Below are 19,136 nucleotides of genomic sequence, written 5' to 3'. Positions count from 1 at the left end.
AAACAAACAAACCAAAACTGCAATAATCCAGAAGAAGATCAGGAAGGCGGAACAGAGACTGTCAAAGTAGGTAAAAAGGAAACCTCAGTATCCACTTTTAAAAAGAAATACACTTATGAGATAAAGATATAAATAGATTCGAACTGAAAAGATGGACAAATATACACTATGCAATCTTTGTTATCAAAAACTGCAGCCAGTGTATTAATGGCAGATAAGATACACTACAAGAAAGACAAGCATCACCAGGGATAAAGAAGGATGTTTTATACCAATAAGCCCATTTGCTTAGAAAACCTAATAAGCATAAGCATGCATGCACCTAAGAAAAACAGCAAAATACATGAAGCAAAAGTTATTGAATTAAAAGGATAAATGCATAAATCCACAATTTGACAATTCTAATTATTATAACTCAGAAATCAATAGAAAAAATAACTACAACGATAAGACTACAGGTATTAATAGGAGAGATTATAACCAGAGCACCAGGAGAAAAACAGCCATATCCAATATGCGTACAACTATTGGTTGACAACTCAAAAGTTCCCAAAAGAATTTTTGACACTAAATAAAGGTAAATAGCCTGGAAAGCCTGCAAGCCAGCATAGGAAGGAAGTGGAAAATGAAATGTTGATTGAAAATAAATCTGGAAGTCCGGGCACGGTGGCTCATGCCTGTAATCCCAGCACTTTGGGAGGCCAAGGTGGGTGGATCACCTGAGGTCGGGAGTTCGAGACCAGCCTGACCAACATGGAGAAACTCTGTCTGTACTAAAAATACAAAATTAGCCTGGTATGGTGGCCCATTCCTGTAATCCCAGTTACTCGGAGGCTGTGGCAGAAGAATCGCTTGAACCCGAGAGGCGGAGGTTGTGGTGAGCCGAGATCTCCCCATTGCACTCCAGCCTGGGCAATAAGAGCAAAACTCTGTCCCCCCCAAAAAAAGGAGAAAAGAAAAGAAATCTGAAAAAAGGAAAAGAGAATTGAGGATAAAGCTTTGCAAATACAAAATCCAAAATCAAATGATAGAAATAAGTTCAAATATATCACTTTTTCCTACCAAACATAGAGGGATTAACCTCATATATTAAAATACAAAATTATCAATAACAAAGCAGCACTTTCAAATTAAAGAAATAAAAAAATAAAAATTTTATAAAAATTTTAAGTAAATATTCACAGAAAGCAACCTGCTATCACAAAATTAATTTTAGTTCAAATAAAATTTAAGGAAGAAATAATAAACAACAGGATAGACACTGCACATGGATGGACAATAGAACCGAGTAGGTGAAGCAATGTCAAGTCCAATGCTGGCCTCGCCTCCAGGACATACAAAGAAACTAACAGGATAGAGCAGGTCTAGAGAGGGACGCTGGAACTCATACTTCTGAATTTAAACGGGAAATATACAAAGATGTTATGTGTTTATAAAAGGTTTTAAAATCACAACAAATGCTGAATATACATCACTTTCTAGTATATGTAATACTTACCAAATGGGACGCATATTAGGTTGCAAAAGAAATTACAAAAAACTGGAGCTAGGGACCAAAGGACTAACATAACTCAAAACAAAAAACATGCCCCATATAGTTTAGGAAAAAACGGCACAGTGATTTAATGGTAAATCACTATAAACATGAAGGGATTCACCCAGAGTTCAAGACGACAACATGTGTCAGCCTGACTTTCCAAATGACTGCACAGGAAAGGCTGCCATCCAAGGAAGCACAGAAAAGGACACCCCTTAGGTCCTGGATGGAGGAGGATGACCCCCAATACTGGATGGAGAAGGATGCCCCCCAGTCCTAGATGGAGAAGGATGCCCCCCAGTCCCAGATGGAGAAGGATGCCCCCCTCAGTCCTGGATGGAGATGGATGCCCCCTAGTTACTGGATGATAAAAGATGTTCCCCAAGTCCTGGATGGAGAAGGATGACCGCAATTCCGGGATGGAGAAGGATGCCCCCCAGTCCTGGATGGAGAAGGATGCCCCCTAGTCCTTGATGGAGAAGGATACCCCCTAGTTACTGGATGGAAAATGATGTCCCCCAAATCCTGGATGGAGAAAGACGGTCCTCCAAGTCCTGGATGGACTCCAAGTCCTGGATGGAAAAGGATGCCCCCCAATTCCTGAGTGGAGAAGGATGCCCCCCTCAGTCCTGGATGGAGAAGGATGCCCCCTAGTTACTGGATGGAAAAAGATGTCCCCCAAGTCCTGGATGGAGAGGGATGCTCCCCAATTCCTGAATGGAGAAGGATGCCCCTAGTTCTACATGGAGAAGGACAACCCCCAGTCCTGAATGAAGAAGGATAACCCCCTAGTCCTGGATGAAGAAGGATGCCCCCCAAGTCCTAAATGGAGAAGGATGCCCCCAAAGTCCTAAATGGGGAAGGATGCCCCCCAAGTCCAGTTGAAGAAGAATTTCCCCCACTCCTGAATGGAATAGGATCCCCTTCAAGTCCTGGGTAGATAAGACATCTCCCAAGTCCTGGGTGGAGGACACCCCTCAGGTCCTGGGTGGAGAAAGGATGCCCCCTAGGTCCTGGATGGAGAAGGATGTTCCCCAAGTCCTGCTTGGAGAAGGTGGCTCTGGGGACCGCATGGGGAAGGATGCCCCTTTTCCAGCCTCCCCATCCATACTTATCCTTACCTGTTAATGTAGAACAAAGAGATTTGGAGGAAGAAACATGGGACTAAACTTTACTCAGAATGTTTTCCTTTTAATCAACATTTTATAAATTCTAATTTTTATTTGATAAAAATAAATGAAATGTATGACATAAACACAGTGTAACAACCGATTAGACCTATTTTTCCAATCTGAGTCCTGGCTACCGGCTCTATTAGTCATTCTACTTTTCTGTATTTGTAAAGCTTCTCAAAATTAAAGATAAAAGAGTTTATTGCTAGTAACATGTATAAATAAACATTGAATAAAATGTGACTCTTTAAAAATTAGTTTATTCTATGGGCTTCTTTTGAAAGGTTATGGTGTACTAAAATTACTAGCGGATCTTTATTACAAGCTCACTGGTAAAAATAGACAATGTGGAAATGTTTTAATTTGTTAGAAATTAGTGTTGAATGAGTATTAATCAAAACTTTAAAACCAAAGTACATGGACATAAGAATAAATTATTCAACTTAATTATCCACTGACTTTAAATTCTAATTGCTAAATTTACTTTTTGCCCATTTCACCTCCTTCAAATCTCCAAGTAACTCTTCATTTTTCTCTCCTGTCAATATTTTATTCTCCCTTATTTTTTTTCTATTTCCTGATTTTTTGAACAACTCCAAGGGAGTTGTGTTTTGCTTGTGTTGAATGACATCATTACACCAACCCGTTAGGCAACTAGACCCTCATCAAGGTGAGCACTAGGAGACTTCAGACCACAGAGCCTCTCCTGATTTTTGACTCCGGCTACCTGGCAACCGTGTTTAAATTATGAGTTGTTTAATTTTTTAGATCCCCTATAGATAAAGAAGGATTTTAGTAATCATCAATTTAAAATGCACTGGGACACTTTATGACTGACATTTCTTGCAGTTTCTGTGCTGCGGCCTCATGAGTAACTGTCTGTAAGAAACATCATGTTCCTCATTCTGCCCTTGCTTCTTGGGCTCCAAAGGGAAAAACCAGAAATTCTGTGGATATAAAACATGGAAACATTCATTCTTTAAAGAAAAAGGCGGTAAAGCAGAGACGAGAACAGGGAAAGGATGTTATTGAATACATGCAAGTGGATAAAATATGAATGATCATGTTCTCATGTTCAACTCAATTTTTAAAAGTGGATGTATGAGCAGTGCCAGCATTTAGTCAGACCATGGTGGGCCTGTGGGCTAGAACAAGAGGCCACACTCAAGGTCAGATGGCACTCACGACGGGGGGCCTCTGCTCCTTTATGACTCCCCTTCCTCAGTGACCCAGAGCACCCTCCCATCACAACCTGTAGGGGAGAGGAAGGTGTTAGGGCACTTTGAATCACAGCAGAGTGTGTGTCTACATGCTCTCCTCACATGCCACAAATCTGCATCACTTTACAACATTTCAATAGATTATGAGTAAGGAAGATCGCTGCAGAACCAGTAAAAGCTGCTCTCACAGACGATGCGCTAAATTGGGTTTTACAAAGTATTGTGAGAGATCTCGGGAGAGGGGGAGCAACCTGCTCATAGATTTTGCCAAAATCAACATTTAAACACCTCCGTTAGGCAGAAGAGCAGCGCTACTGGAATTAGTTAGCAGCTCTTTCCTGCTGGACATCTGTCAGCCTCCAGACCCTACAGAGAAGAGGCCATGACCTAAAAGCAGTTTAAAAGCCTGAAAAAATAGAAGCTAAGGATTAAGCAAATATCGAAATTTGGAAAAGGAGAGAAGACTTTATTTCTTGTAGAGGGTTACAGCCTGCAAGGCCACCCCACAGGCTGGGAAGAACAGCCTCCTGCTGAGACCAGAGATGGGCACTTCCAGGAGGAGGGGTTGGGGCAGGAGCTTTGGGGTGAAAAGGTTGGCTAAAGATACACATTCATCAGGTGACAGGCATAACAACATAAAATCAGCTGTAGGTAACACAGAATGATTCTGATATTGATGTTCAATTCCACACACTAACAGACGTGAGAACCTCATTCACCGCACGTGGAGAAGGCACTGTATCTGCTCCGTGGTGTCAAGATGACTTATGTTTATCGTTGCCTGGGTCTGCATTTTCTCTTCTCTAGATTTTGCTTATCCTGCAAAGCTTGTGCTGGGACTTCATTTCTAGGATTGAGTTTAAGCTGAGCCTCAGAGTTTTTATTGCAGCTACGGTGGATATGGCTTGGTTCCCTGCAGTACTCTCTGGAAAGTACCTTCCTCCGTTTGAAATCCCTGACATGGTACCTCCTACAGCCTGCACAGCTCTGGCCTCTGCCATGGGTCTCATGGCCTCTGCTGCTAAAACTAGAGAGGAGGTTCATCCCCTGCCTCTTTATAGAGAAGAGCCGCTTGCTGACTGAGCTGAAAAGGGACTCCCCACAGAGCAGGCTCACCAGTGTCCCGACAGCCGGGCAGATCACGGGGACGGGGAATTCTGAGCAGACCCTCTTCAGAAGTTGAGTCTCAAGGGGCCTTGGGGAACTTGGTCAGCAGATGGCAAGACTTCATCTGTCAGTGGGCGGGTCAGCTCAGCAGGACTCCTGTCTTTGGAACTGAGACTCAAGTCTCTACTCTGTACCAAGACAGAGTTGGAGGCTAAGAAACAAGACACACAACCATTTTCCATCATTGAGGGGCAAGGCAGGGCTTGGCATGAGGCAGAACCGGGCTCCATCAATGCCACATGTCAGGAGGAACCCCTTTTCTGTTTCAATCCCTCCTGCCCATTTGTGGGAGGCATTAGAGAGGCCTGACATAGTTTTTTTTTCTCCACGGCCTGAGGACGTGATAGGATTTCATTCCCGCCCCACCTTGTTGGTTGGATGGAATCATGCGCCCAATTGTGGTCAAGACCAAGAAACTGAGGTATCATTTTTGTGTGTGTGGGACCAGGAAAATGGCTCTAATTTGGCTTTGTGTTTGTGCATGTGTGTGAGAACGGACAGGTAAATGTGTGTAATGGAGAGTGGGTAGGTGAGTGTGTACAAGTGTGAGAGTGTGTATGTGAGTTATTGTGTGAATGTGAAGAAATGTGTGATAGTGGTGTTTGAACTTGGCAGTATGAGTGTGTATGTGGAATATAACTGCGTGTGGATGTGTAAATATAAGTGTGTATGTGTGTTAATATGTGTAAGTGTGTGAATAAGCCATGTGAGTGTGGTGTGTGAGCTTGGACCTATGAGTATGAGTGTGTGTGTCTGTGTGAGCATGACAGAGTGTGTGAGTTTGGGGTGTGTGCAGGCCACAGCCAGTCCCTCCTGGGGTACTAGATCTTTCCAACCCAAGCACCTCAAGTCGTTCTCCTTCCTCACTCCATCCTGAGCTTCCCAGCCAACTGCCTCTCATCCAAACTCCCACAGGGAAACAGTCCCTGGGGCCAGGGGCTCTGAGCATGGCACAGTGCCAAGTCTCCTCCCTGGCCACCTCCTGAGAACCTGGGTGTAGCACAAAACAGTCAAATATGTTCCTCTTCTGTCATCACTAACTAGAGCTCCACAACTTCCCAGATTGCCCTGTTAGCTCTTCACCATAATTAGCTATTTTCTGATATCATACTAACATTCCTTAATTATTCCCTCAGAAACGAAGCAAATCCGTGGGATGCAGAGGGTACGCTGATGACTTCTGCTGGGGAGAGAAGCCCAAACACACGTCCTGGGCAGAGCCCAGAGACCGGGAGTGTGGCTGCCAGTGAGCACCCGGCTGAGGGACAAGCAGGTGGGCCTCAGTGGTGGCTGCCAGGTCCCTGGACGCCGGGGGCCACCGGCCTTGCCTCTCCTCTGCCTCGGAAGCACCGGAGGCTTTGGGGATCTGGTGGTCCTCTGGCCCTGAACGTGGACCTGGTGTGACAAAGGGAAGTTTGCCATCTCCATCCTCCTCAAGCTGCCTGTGCACCCCAGTAGCACCCACCCTCTCTGTGCTCCCGTCTGCACCGCATGTCCTGGGGTCCTTCTTTGTACTGCACCCAATGACAGGAACCAGTGCCCTGACTGTGACTTGCTTCCCCCCTCAGGGACACACAAGCACTTTCACATCGAGGCTACTTTTCACCCCTTCTGCCTCCTGCAGGGACGCTGCATGCAGAGGCAGGAGGACAGAGGGGCTGGTCTCAGGTGTGGCTTCTCTCACACCTGGCGCAGGTGGCCACTCCCCTTCCCCCCCCCACTCTTCCACCCCACCTCAGCTCCCGGGTGTGAATGAGAAAGGGGAACCAAGAGATCATCGTTACATGGGACACGCCACAAACCCCAAAAAGACCCATTTGGTGAAAAGAAGTAAAACAACCACAAGGCTATTTTGGCCTGAGGTGGTCTCATGGCTGAAGCAGACCGCTGGTCTCTTGCCTGGGCTACTCAAATAATAACCCAGTGTGTCCTTCCATGTGCATTTTCCTTCGGGTTGAGCAAAAACACTTTGTCATCCTCCCACTCCTCAATAGAGCAGAAGGGAACGAAAGGCAACTACAGGGCCTTACAGAGCTGCTCCGGGGGCCGCGGGAAACTTATCAGCATCCTAGAAAAGACAAAACCAGTGGGTTGCATGTGGCCTCTGACACCTGCCACCCCGACTGCAGGGAGTGGCCTCCCCCACCTTTCACCTTCCCATCATTAGTAAACGAAGTGACCCCCAACGCCTGGACAAAGCGCTCGAAAGCCCAGGCCCGCGGGTTAGCTCCAGCCGCTGGGCTTGACAGGGGTCAGGGAGGCGGGCCAGCCCCACAGCCAAGTCACAGCTCCAGGGCCTGGTCGCACCTGAGCAGCGCGGCCTCGGGCTGCTGCTGGCGCTGCAGGCTCCGCGCCTGACCCTCCAGCCTGCGCAGCGGGCACTCGGCCGGGAAGAACCTCTCCAGCAGGCGGCTCAGCACTACGTTCACGCGCCCGCGCCCGCGCCTGTGGCCGCGCGGGCCCCAGCTCCACGCAGCGCTCACAGACCGTGATCCCGCAGGGCAGTGTCACCGGCTTGTGCAGCAGCCGCGGGCAGCCAAGCAGGTCGCGGGGCGCGCGGGGCGCCAGGGCCGGCCCTCCCTAGCCTTGAGCTCGCCGCCCGGCTTCCTCGCCAACAGTGGCCGTTCGCGCAAGCCGGGACACACCAGGCCGCCCGCCAGCTCCCCCAGCTCCTCCGGCCGCAGCGCCTCCAGCCTCCCGGCTACACGGAACGCGCCCAGGGCCACCGGGAGGCGGCCGGCGCGGGTCAGAGCGTCCCCCAGCCTCAGGCACCGGCCGCGGTCGGGCTGCGCCAGCCGGGCCAGCATGGAGCGGAAGAGCCCGACTGCTTTCTGGTACTCGCTCGCGCGGAAGGCCTCGTCGCCCTCCTCCAAGCGCTGGGCGATTGGCTTCCCGCAGCAGCAGCCCGGACACTGGGGCGGCGGCGGGACCGGCTCAGTGCTGATCCCCGCGGGGCTGCGACCGTGCGGGCCTGGAGCGAAGGCGCGGAGCAGGGGCGATGAGCTGCTGCTGGGAACTGGCCGGCGGGAGCGCCGCCACAGCCTTCGCCTGCAGAACCAAAAAAACGGTTTTAAAAATCTTTTTTTTTTTTTTAATTATACTTTAAGTTTTAGGGTACATGTGCACATTGTGCAGGTTAGTTACATATGTATACATGTGCCATGCGGGTGCGCTGCACCCACTAACTCGTCATCTAGCATTAGGTATATCTCCCAATGCTATCCCTCCCCCCTCCCCCCTCCCCACCACATTCCTCAGAGTGTGATATTCCCCTTCCTGTGTCCATGTGATCTCATTGTTCAATTCCCACCTATGAGTGAGAATATGCGGTGTTTGGTTTTTTGTTCTTGCGATAGTTTACTGAGAATGATGGTTTCCAATTTCATCCATGTCCCTACAAAGGACATGAACTCATCATTTTTTATGGCTGCATAGTATTCCATGGTGTATATGTGCCACATTTTCTTAATCCAGTCTATCATTGTTGGACATTTGGGTTGGTTCCAAGTCTTTGCTATTGTGAATAATGCCGCAATAAACATACGTGTGCATGTGTCTTTATAGCAGCATGATTTATAGTCATTTGGGTATATACCCAGTAATGGGATGGCTGGGTCAAATGGTATTTCTAGTTCTAGATCCCTGAGGAATCGCCACACTGACTTCCACAATGGTTGAACGAGTTTACAGTCCCACGAACAGTGTAAAAGTGTTCCTATTTCTCCACATCCTCTCCAGCACCTGTTGTTTCCTGACTTTTTAATGATCGCCCTTCTAACTGGTGTGAGATGATATCTCATTGTGGTTTTGATTTGCATTTCTCTGATGGCCAGTGATGATGAGCATTTTTTCATGTGTTTTTTGGCTGCATAAATGTCTTCTTTTGAGAAGTGTCTGTTCATGTCCTCCGCAGAACGTGAAGAATTACATTGGAAATTAGTTAGAGATTGTATTGGACCTATAGATTGATTTGAGTATGATGGTCATTTTAACAGTATTAACACTTCTAATTCAAAAAATGGGATAACCTTGTCTTTATTTGTATCTTTTCAATTGATTTTTATCAATGTTTTATAGTTTTCATTTTAGACGTCTTTATTTTGCCAGGCATTTTATTTTTTTATAGCTATTTTCAATGGGGATTCCTTTTTCAGATAGTATGCTGTTGGGTATAGAAATGCACCTGATTTTTCTATGCTGATTTTGTATTCTAAAACTTTACTGTATTCATTTACTATTTCTGTTTTTCAGTATAGGGTTTTTTATACATAAGATCATGTCATCTGCAAACAGGGACAATTTGACTTTCTTTTTGTTTTTCAATTTGGATGTCTTTTCTTTCTCTTTTCTAATTGCTCTAGCTAGGACTTCCAGTGCTATGTTGAAGAGAAGTTATTAAAGTGAACATCCTTGTCTTGTTCTAGATCTTAGAGAGACAGTTTTCAATTTTTCCTTATTCAGTATCATGTTGGCTGTGGGTTATCATATATGGCCTTTATTTTATTGAGTTATATTCTTTTTATAACTGATTTGTTAAGAGATCTTATGTTTACAAAAAACATTGAATTTTGTCAAATGCTTTTTCTGTATCTATTTAAATGATTATATGATTTTTATCTTACCTTATCGAATATGGTGTATCACATTTATTGATTTATATATCATAAGCCCTCCTTGCCTCCCTGGAACAAATACAACCTGATTATGGTGAATCATCTTTTTAATGTGCTTTCAAATTATGATTGCTAGCATTGCTGGTTTTGAATTTTTGCATTTATGTTCATCACTGATATTGGCCTGTAGTTTAGTTTTTCACTGTTCTTGTCGCATTTTGGAATAAGGTAATTCTGTCTTCATAGAATGAGTATGGAAGAGTTTCCTCCTTTTCACTTTTTTTGGGAACAGTTTGTAAATAATTAGTATAAGTTCCTCTTTAAATGTTTTGAAGAATTCAGCAGTATAAGCATTGGATCCTCAATTTTTATTTTCTTCTCCTTCCGTCCCTTCCTTCCTCCCTCCCTCCCTCTCTCTTTTCTTCCTTTTCCTTTCTTTCTTTGTCTGTCTTTCTTTTTCTTTCTTTCTTTCTTTCTTTCTTTCTTTCTTTCTTTCTTTCTTTCTTTCTTTTTCTTTCCTTCCTTCCCTCCTTCCCTCCTTCCTTTCTTCTTCTTCTTCTTCTTCTTCTTCTTCTTCTTCTTCTTCTTCTTCTTCTTCTTCTTCTTCCTCTTTCTTCTTTCTTCTTAAATATTTTTGGTTTAGAGACAGGGCTTTCTCTGTCACTCAGGCTGGAGTACAGTGGTGCAATCATAGCTCACTGCAGCCTCAAATTCTTGGTCTTAAGTGATCCTCCTGCTCCAGCCTCCCAAGTTGTTAGGACTACAAGTGCACACCACTACACCTGGATAATTTTTATTTTTATTTTTGTAAAGACTGGGTCTCACTATGTTCCCCAGGTTTTCTTCTAGGTTTTCTAATTTATTGGCATATAATTTTAGTACTTTCTCATGATTCTTTATATTTCTGTAGTAACCATTTTAATGTCTTTTTTCATCTCTGATTTTATTTATGTGAATCTTCTCTCTTTTTTCTTAATCTGACTAAAGATATATCAATTGTGTTTATCTTTTCAAAAAATAACTTTTTATTTCATTGATCTTTCATATTTTTGTCTCCATTTGGTTTATTTGTGCTCTGGTCTTCATTATCTATATTCTTTTACCAATTTGGGGCTAAGTTTGTTCACGTTTCTATAATTCCTTGAAATGCATTCTTAAATTATTAATGAGAGTTTTCTTTTTTTCATATAGAAATTCATTTCTACAGACTTCCCTCTGAGGACTTTTTCTGCTGTATTTCCTAAGTTTTTATATGTTCTGATTTCATTTTCGTTTGTCTTAAGAATTTTAAAAATGAAACAAAATTTATTTTTAACCCATTGTTTAGGGACACATTGTTTAATTTGCATGTATTTGCACAATTTCTGAAGTTCTTGTTGTTTATTTCTAGTTTTATTCTATATTGTCAGAAAAGATGTGATATAATTTTGATTTTTTTTTGAATTTGCTAAGGCTCATTTTGTGCCTAATATATGATCTATCATGGAAAATGTTCCATGAGCAGTAGAGAAGACTGTGAATTATGCAATTGTTGGATAACATGTTCTGTAAATGACTGCTAAGTTATTTGGTCTAGAGTTCAGTTTAAATATGATGTTTCTTTGTTGATTTTCTGTCTTGATAATCTGTTTATTGCTGAAAGTGGAATGTTAAGGTTTCTGACTATTATTTTATTGCTTGCTGTTTCTCCTGTTAGATCTATTAACGTTTGTTTTATATATTTAGGTGCTTCAATATAGAGGGCATATATATTTACAATTATATTATCTTGTGATATTGATCCCTTTATCATTATATAATGGCTGTATTTGTCTGTTTTTATAGGATTTTGCTTGAAGCGTATGTTATCTGATATAAATATATCTATATTGGCTTTCTTTCAGTTTCCATATTTATAAAATATATTTTTCCATCTGATCACTTTCAATTTATGTGTGTATTTACAGATGAAGTGAATTTCCTGTAGAAAGTTTATAGTTAGGTCTTGTTTTTAATCAGTGTAGCCATTATATGTCTTAAATGGGATAATCCATTTACATACAAGATAATTATTGATAGGCAAGGACTTGGTCCTGCCATATTATTACTTGTTTTCATGTTTTTTTTTTAATTTGTACTTTGATTGATTGATTGATTTCACTACCTTCCTTTGTGATTAAGTGATTTACTCTATCAGTGTGTTTCGGTTTCTTTTTTTTTTTAATTTTTAGAGTATCTTTTAAAAGTTTTTGCTTTGTGGTTACCACAAGGCATGCAAAGAACATTTTATGGTTACAATAAGTTATTTTAAAGAGATAGCAACTTAATTTTGATTCAAAAAAGGGGGAAAAGAAACCAATCTACTCTTTAACTCCCTCACTCCCTCACTCCCTCACATTTTACATTTTTGATGTCTTAATTTACATCTTTGTATATTGCGATTCCTTAACAAATTATTGTAATTATTATTATTTGTATTGTATTTTAACCTTCCTACTAAGGATATATAAGTGGTTTACATCCAATTATTACCATATTAGAGCACTCCAAATTTGTCTGAATCCTCACTTCTATCTGTGGGTTTATACCTTCAGATTTTTTGTGTTACATATTGCTGCTATTTCCTTTCAGTTCGAAGAACAATATTTAGCATTTCTTGTAAGGCTGGTTTGATTACAGTGAATTCCTTTGCTTTTTGTTTGTCTGAGAATGTTTCAATCTCTCCTTTATTTCTAAATGATAGCTATGCTGGATAGTTTATTCATGGTTGACAGTTTTTTTAATTCAGCACTTGAATCTATTATCCTACTCTCTCCTGGCCTGTAGTGTTTCTGCTGACAAGTCTGCTGCCAGGCATATTGGAATTCTCTTATGTGTTGTTTCCTTTTTCTTAGTCCTTTCAGGGTCTTCTCTTTGTCTTTGACCTTTGAGAGTTTAATTATAATATGTCTTTGGTTGTCTTATTCAGATTAAATATGATTGGGCACTTTGACCATCCTAAACATTTTAATCTTTCTCCAGATTTAAAAAGTTTTCTGTTATTTCTTTGAATAAACTATCTCTTTTGCATTCTTTTTTTTTTTTTTTTTTTTTTTGAGACGGAGTCTCGCTCTGTTGCCCAGGCCGGACTGCGGACTGCAGTGGCGCAATCTCGGCTCACTGCAAGCTCCGCTTCCCGGGTTCACGCCATTCTCCTGCCTCAGCCTCCCGAGTAGCTGGGACTACAGGCGCCCGCCACCGCGCCCGGCTAATTTTTTGTATTTTTAGTAGAGACGGGGTTTCACCTTGTTAGCCAGGATGGTCTCGATCTCCTGACCTCATGATCCACCCGCCTCGGCCTCCCAAAGTGCTCTTTTGCATTCTTAGTTCCCCTTTAACACCAATGATATGTAGATTTGCTCTTTTGTTGGTGTCCCACAAATCTCATAAACTTTCTTTGTTTCTTTTCATTCTACTCTGACCATGTATTTTCAAAGAGCCTGTCTTTGAGCTCACTGTTTCTTTCTTCTGCTTGATCAGTTCTTCTGTTGATGCCTTCCATTGGATTTTCAAAGTGTCCATTGAACTTTGCTGCTCCAGGATTTACATGTGATTTTTCCCATTATTTTGATTTCTTTGTTGAATTTCTCTGGTACATTTCTGAATTGTGTCTCTGCTTTCTCAGTGTTCAGGCTCTTCTTAAAACAGCCATTTTGAATTCTTTGCCTGCCAGATCGTTCATCTGTATGTCTTTAAGTTCAGTTGCTGACACCTTGTTTTGTCCATTTGGAGAGGCAACTTTTCCTAAGCTATCATTATTATATGTAGATATACATCTGTGTACACATTAATGATTTAGATATTTATTTGAGTCTTCTCAGTTTGGGTGTGTTTGTGACTACTTTTAAGTGGGCTTATTAAGAAATTTTGAGCGGACTTATCATCGTATTCCATTTTAGCGTTAGAGAGAGCGCAAATCCCACATTAGACGTAAGTCTTCCAATGGCTCCATCACTGATGCAACATTTGCTGGATGGGCCCATGGGTGATCCACAGGGAGCCCCTGGCTATGGGGGAGAACAAGTCAGGCCATCAAGCCTGTAGAGTCTGTGTATTATGTTTCACATGGTGGCTGTTGCTGGCCCCACCTCCGCTTATGTCCTTAACATGCCTCAGGTGGTTCATCCCTTTTGGCACTCATGGTGCCCCCTGTGGGCTGATACAGGAGTGAGGCTACTGTGAAGGCACTCAGTATAGTGGAAAAAACAAATGTCAACCTCCTGCTTTTTTTCAGTGTAAAAACTATAAGCTCTATGGGAGTTTCTGCAGATGGTACCATAATGGCCTGAGGGAGGAGTATCACAGTCACAGAGTATTGGTTCTCTGACTGCATAAGCCATGGTTTTACCCACCTTCACAGGCTAAAGGTGCTTCATAACTTTGTTCATGTATTGAGGTTCTGTTGGCTCTTGTAATGGTAATTTCACATGTGGGCAGTTGTTCATATTGATGTTTCTGTAGGGGTACGATAGCTGGAGAGTTCTGCGCCACTGTCTTGCTCTTTCTTGATCATTTTTTTTTCTAACAAGAATTTGTCTCCTCCTAGTTTTTCTTTTTCTCTTAACCGACCTAGGTTTAGCCTTCTAATCCTTCTCCCTCCTCTGCTTCTAATGTCATTGTTTCTTTGTATGCCTATCATATCTACATGCTACATGACCTTCAGCTGGTTATGTATAATATATAAGACTTAATATCCTATAAAATAGAGGTAATAATATTATCTACTTGATAGGAAAGTTAAGAATATTAAATGACACCATTGATGTTAAATGGAAGTAACTTTCTGAAATGTATTGAGACATGATTCTTTGTTCTAGTCTTCACTTTATAGACTAGACTACTTTGTTTGAGTTTTCTCTTTTCAGTCAGAGAAAGCAATAAAATTGTAATAGTAAAAATTAAATAAAATTTAACTTAAAATTGTGTTCTGGTCTTCTTGTTGTTCAGCCATGGAAAGCAATAAAATTGTGATAGCAGAAATTAAAAGTGAGCAGAGACTTATTTAAAAATTGGTATTCTCCTTTTTGATGCCAAAATAAGAACTAGAAAGTTTTAATAAGGCAACAGTCTGAAGAAACAATTTATTGAAGAGAATATGGGTTTCTAAATCCTAACAAGTTTTTTTTACATATGTGAGTCAAGTTTGGCTGCCTTGAATCCTACTATGACTTTAATGGAAGTTCTAGTTAGGGTGGAAAGTGTCAAAGAAAACAATTGCACCAGACAAAGTTAAACACATAAAAAAGCTGTTATTGAAGGCTATTGCAAAAGGACAAAGAGGCCAGAACTTAGTCTGAACTCAGCTCCACTGAAACAAACAGCAGTAGAGATTTTAAGAGCTGGGATGAGGGGGAGATCATAGACCCCTTTTCTTTGCTAGTTGTCTTTTTCCAAAGGAATATTAAACTATCTTTTATCTTTATGACAGAAGGTAATTTTACAAATTAGAGCAATATGCCTACCAAAATTTGGCTCTTACTCTTTCATGGAATCTGGGAGATAATGGTGTTATCTTTCTTGAGGATTACATTTCAAAGGCATGGCTCTGAGGTCCTTGAAATGGACATTTCTGAAGTGTAAAACTGGCAAGTGGGCTCTTAAAAAGATTTATTTATCAAAGAGGCAGAGAAAGAATTTACAATGATAACATTTCTAAAATATGCTAAAGAAAAAAAGAGGCCAGGAGCCAAGAATCAGAAATAATCCTGTCTAAAATTTTATCAAGCTGAGGGGATGGTTTTAGTCAAAGGTTTAGTGTAAGGGGAATTTCTATGAAGAAGAGGAAGAGAAGAGCTTTTAACTACACAGGAAGAAGAAAGTTCCCAGGAGATGTGACTATGGCTCTGCCTGTGTCTCTGATCAGGTATTCAGCCTCAACATCCTCCTGGGACTCGCTCAAACAGATGGATAGGAAAAAACAGACAGTTAAAGATGAGAAAATATGCAGGCTGTTGTCTTACTTCTCTAGTGCACATAGGGTGTCCCAGGAATGACAGAGTGGCAGGACAGGGGGAAGTGCCTGAGAGATCAATTTCCTTACTCTCAGCTTGTGAGTGCTGTCTGAAAAGCCAGTCTCTCCAAGCTTGGTGGGAGGGGGACTCACAACTGGTTTGACAGGACCAGTGGAGGCCCCTGGTGGGACATGCTGGCCTCAGAATGTGAAGTCTTGGAGGCTAGAGGAAAATGGCAGTGGGTGACCAGATACTTCATCAGTGGGTACCAATACATGCAAAATCAAAGAGAAGATGAGCCATGTCAGCAGATATCAGTGAAGAATGCCCAGAGAAGACTCCACTGACCATGCACAGCACAGACCAGCCTGTTCCAGACGACAGTGCAAATGGCACGCTGCAGCAACAGAGGCGACTTCGACCCCGCCCACGCCATCAGCAGCTCGGACCCTAGGGTCAGATACCACCACAGAGGCTAATTCCAGTGGTCGCCCCGCATCTCAGGAAGACGGGAACCTGCACTCAGCACCATCCCCGTGGCTGCACAGGGCCCAGGACCCGTAACCCGGCGCTCTGGGTGCGGGCCAAGAAAGAGCATAAAATAGGGTGGCATGTCGGTGAACTCGGTGACCCTCTGACAACCTGGGAGCAGCCCCAACAGCCTCAGTTGTGGGCTCAGCTGCAACTGCCACCTGCCAATGGCGCACGGGAGCAGCAGTGGCAACCCTTGACCCTGTCCCCGCCTCCAGCAGCGTGGACAGCAGGGACAGATAGCGCCGCGGCGCCTAAGACCTTAGGCCACGCAGCTACAGGAGGACGTGAAACTGGCGCTGACTGCCCCCGAGAAGCTATGCAATCCCCAGCGCAGGCGAGCTCGCAGTCTGGGCGCGGGCCAAAGATCAGACACTACGCTGAAAGGACGGTGAACTTGGTGACCCTGAGTCTCGCAATGGGTTTAGCTTCAGCTGCCACCTGCAACCAACCCTGACCCTGCCCGCGTCACCAGCAGCAGTAACTCAGGGCCAGATGCCGCCTCAGCGGCTAATTCAGGTAATCGTCCTCCAGCTGCAGCAGGGCGGAAATCCGCTGCTCAGCCCCATCTCCGCGGCTGCACAGAGCCCAGCGCCCGCACAGAGCCCGGCGCCGGCACAACCCGCTCTGGGTAAGGGCAAAGGAAGAGCGGACCTAGGGTGGGAGGACCCTGCACTCCCTGACCCTCAGGCCGTCTGGGGCCAGCCTTGCCAGCCTCGGTCTAAAGCTCCGCTGCAGCTGCTACCTGCTCATGGCGCACAGCGGCTGCAAACCCGGACTCCGCCCGCCGACACCAGCGGCCTCGAAACCCTAGAGCCATACTCCACCTAGTGGCCAAAATCAGGCAGTCGGCCCACAGCTGTAGAAGAGCGGGAACTTGCCCTTCAGCGGATTCCTGGAGGCTGCACAATGCCCAGCGCCAGCCACCGGGTGATCTGGGCGCGGGCAAATGACCCTCAGGCCGTCTGGGACCGGACCAGCCCTGCAGCGTCAGCGGTGGGCTCAGGGGCGGCTGCCACTTGCACACGGTGAACTATAGCAGCTGTGGCAGCCCCCAACCCTGTGCAAGCCACCAGCAGTGCGGACCGCATGATCAAAAGCCGCCGCGGCGCCTAACTCAGGCTGCCGGCCCCCCAGCAGCCAGAGGGCGAAAACTTGCAGCTTAGCCCCATCTCCCAGCGCCTGCACTATGCTCAGCGCCTGCAATCCCACTCTCTGGGCGCGGGCAAGGAAGACTGGACCTTAGGGTTGGAGGGCGATGCATTCGGGGACCCTCGAGGCTTTTGGAATAAGCCCTTCCAGCCTCCGACGCGGGCTTAGCTGCAGCTGCCAGCTGCACACTCCTGGAAGCAGCAGCGGTGGCAGCTCTGGTCTCTGCCAGCTCCAGCAGCAGCGCGGACTGCAGAGCCAGAGGTCACTGCAGCGCCTGTTAGGAGGTTGGCCTCTCAGCTGCAGGAGGGCGGGAATCTGCGCCCAACCAGATCCTCATGGCTGCACAGTGTCCAACGCCCACGACCTTGCAATCTGGGCGCCGGCCTAGGAATAACGGACCCTGGGGTGGAAGGGCGGTGCACTCAGCCACCCTTAGGCAGCCTCAGACCAGCCCTGACAGCATCTGCCTTGGGCTCAGCTGCAGCTGGCACCTGCGCATGGCGCACGGCAGTAGTAGTGGCAGTCCTGACCCTGCCCGCAGACACCAGCAGCAAAGACCCCAGGGCCGGATGCCTCCAAGGCATCTAAGTCAGGTGGTCCGTCCCATAGCTACAGGAGGGCGGGAATCGGCTGCTCAGCCCCATAGCAGCTGTGGCAGCCCCCATCTCTGTCTATGCCACCAGTAGCACGTACCCCAGGGCCAGATACTGCGGTGGCGCCTAATTCAGACTGTAGCTGCAGCAGGGCAGGAATCCGCCGCTCAGCCCCATCCTGGAGGCTGCTCAGAGTCTAGCGCTCGTACACCGCGTCCTGGGAGCAGGCTAAGGAAGAGCAGACCCTAGGGTGGTAGGGCGACGCACCCAGAGACCCTCAGGGTGTCTGGGACCAGCCCTGCCAGTCTCTGCCACGAGCTCAGCTGCAGCTACCACCGCCAGGTGGCTCCCTGCAGCAGCGGTGGAAACCCCGTTGACCTTGCCTGCCGCCAACAGCAGTGAGGATTCCACGGCTGGATCCCTTGCCAGGGCGGGAAGCTGCCGCTCAGCCTATTCTGGGCAGCCGCACAGGGCCCAGCGCCTGAAACCCCGATCTCTGGGCTCGGGCCAAGGAAGAGTAGACCCTAGGCTGGGAGGGCGGTGCACTCGGCGATCCTCACGCTTTCTAGGACCAACCCTGCCGGCGTCTACTGAGAACTCAGCTACAGCTGCCACCTGTACAAGGGCGCCGCAGCAACAGAGCAACCGGGCACTTTGCATGCACCACCAAGAGCCAGGACACCGGGGACAACGTCGCCTCAGCGCCTAATTCAGGCAGTCAGCGCCGCAGCTGCAGCAGGGCAGAAACCTATGCCCTCGGCGCAGTCCCCTTGGCTGCACAGTTCCCAGTGCCCGCGACCCAGAACTCTGGGTGCAGGCAAAGGAAGAGCGTACCCTAGGCTGGGACAGTGGTCCACTCCATGACCCTGAGGCTGTCTGGGAAACGCCTTGCCAGGTGATGGGCTCAGCTGCAGCAGCCACCTGCACAGGGTGCGGGCAGCAGCCTTGGAGGCAACCCCAGACCATGCTCCTACACCAGCCAGGCGGATCCCAGGGCCAGACGCCGCCCAGAGGCTAATTCAGGTGGTCAGGCCCCAGCTGCAGGAGGGTGGGAACCGGCCGCTCAGCCATTTCCTGGGTGCTGCCCTGTACCCAGTACCTGCACACCCCGCTCTGGGCTCCGGCAAGAAAGAACTGACTCTAGGGTGAAAGGGCCGTGCACTCAGAGATCCCCAAGCTGTC

The 19,136-nt window shown here is 45.7% G+C and overlaps 1 pseudogene; it reads right to left on the bottom strand.

Annotated features, from left to right (window-relative positions):
• Positions 7,382–8,150, bottom strand: LONRF2P2 (LONRF2 pseudogene 2; annotated as a pseudogene).

The sequence above is a fragment of the Homo sapiens genome, chromosome 13, assembly GCF_000001405.40.
Source record: "Homo sapiens chromosome 13, GRCh38.p14 Primary Assembly".
Classification (NCBI taxonomy): Eukaryota; Metazoa; Chordata; class Mammalia; order Primates; family Hominidae; genus Homo; species Homo sapiens.
This window is presented reverse-complemented; position numbering and strand designations above follow the sequence as displayed.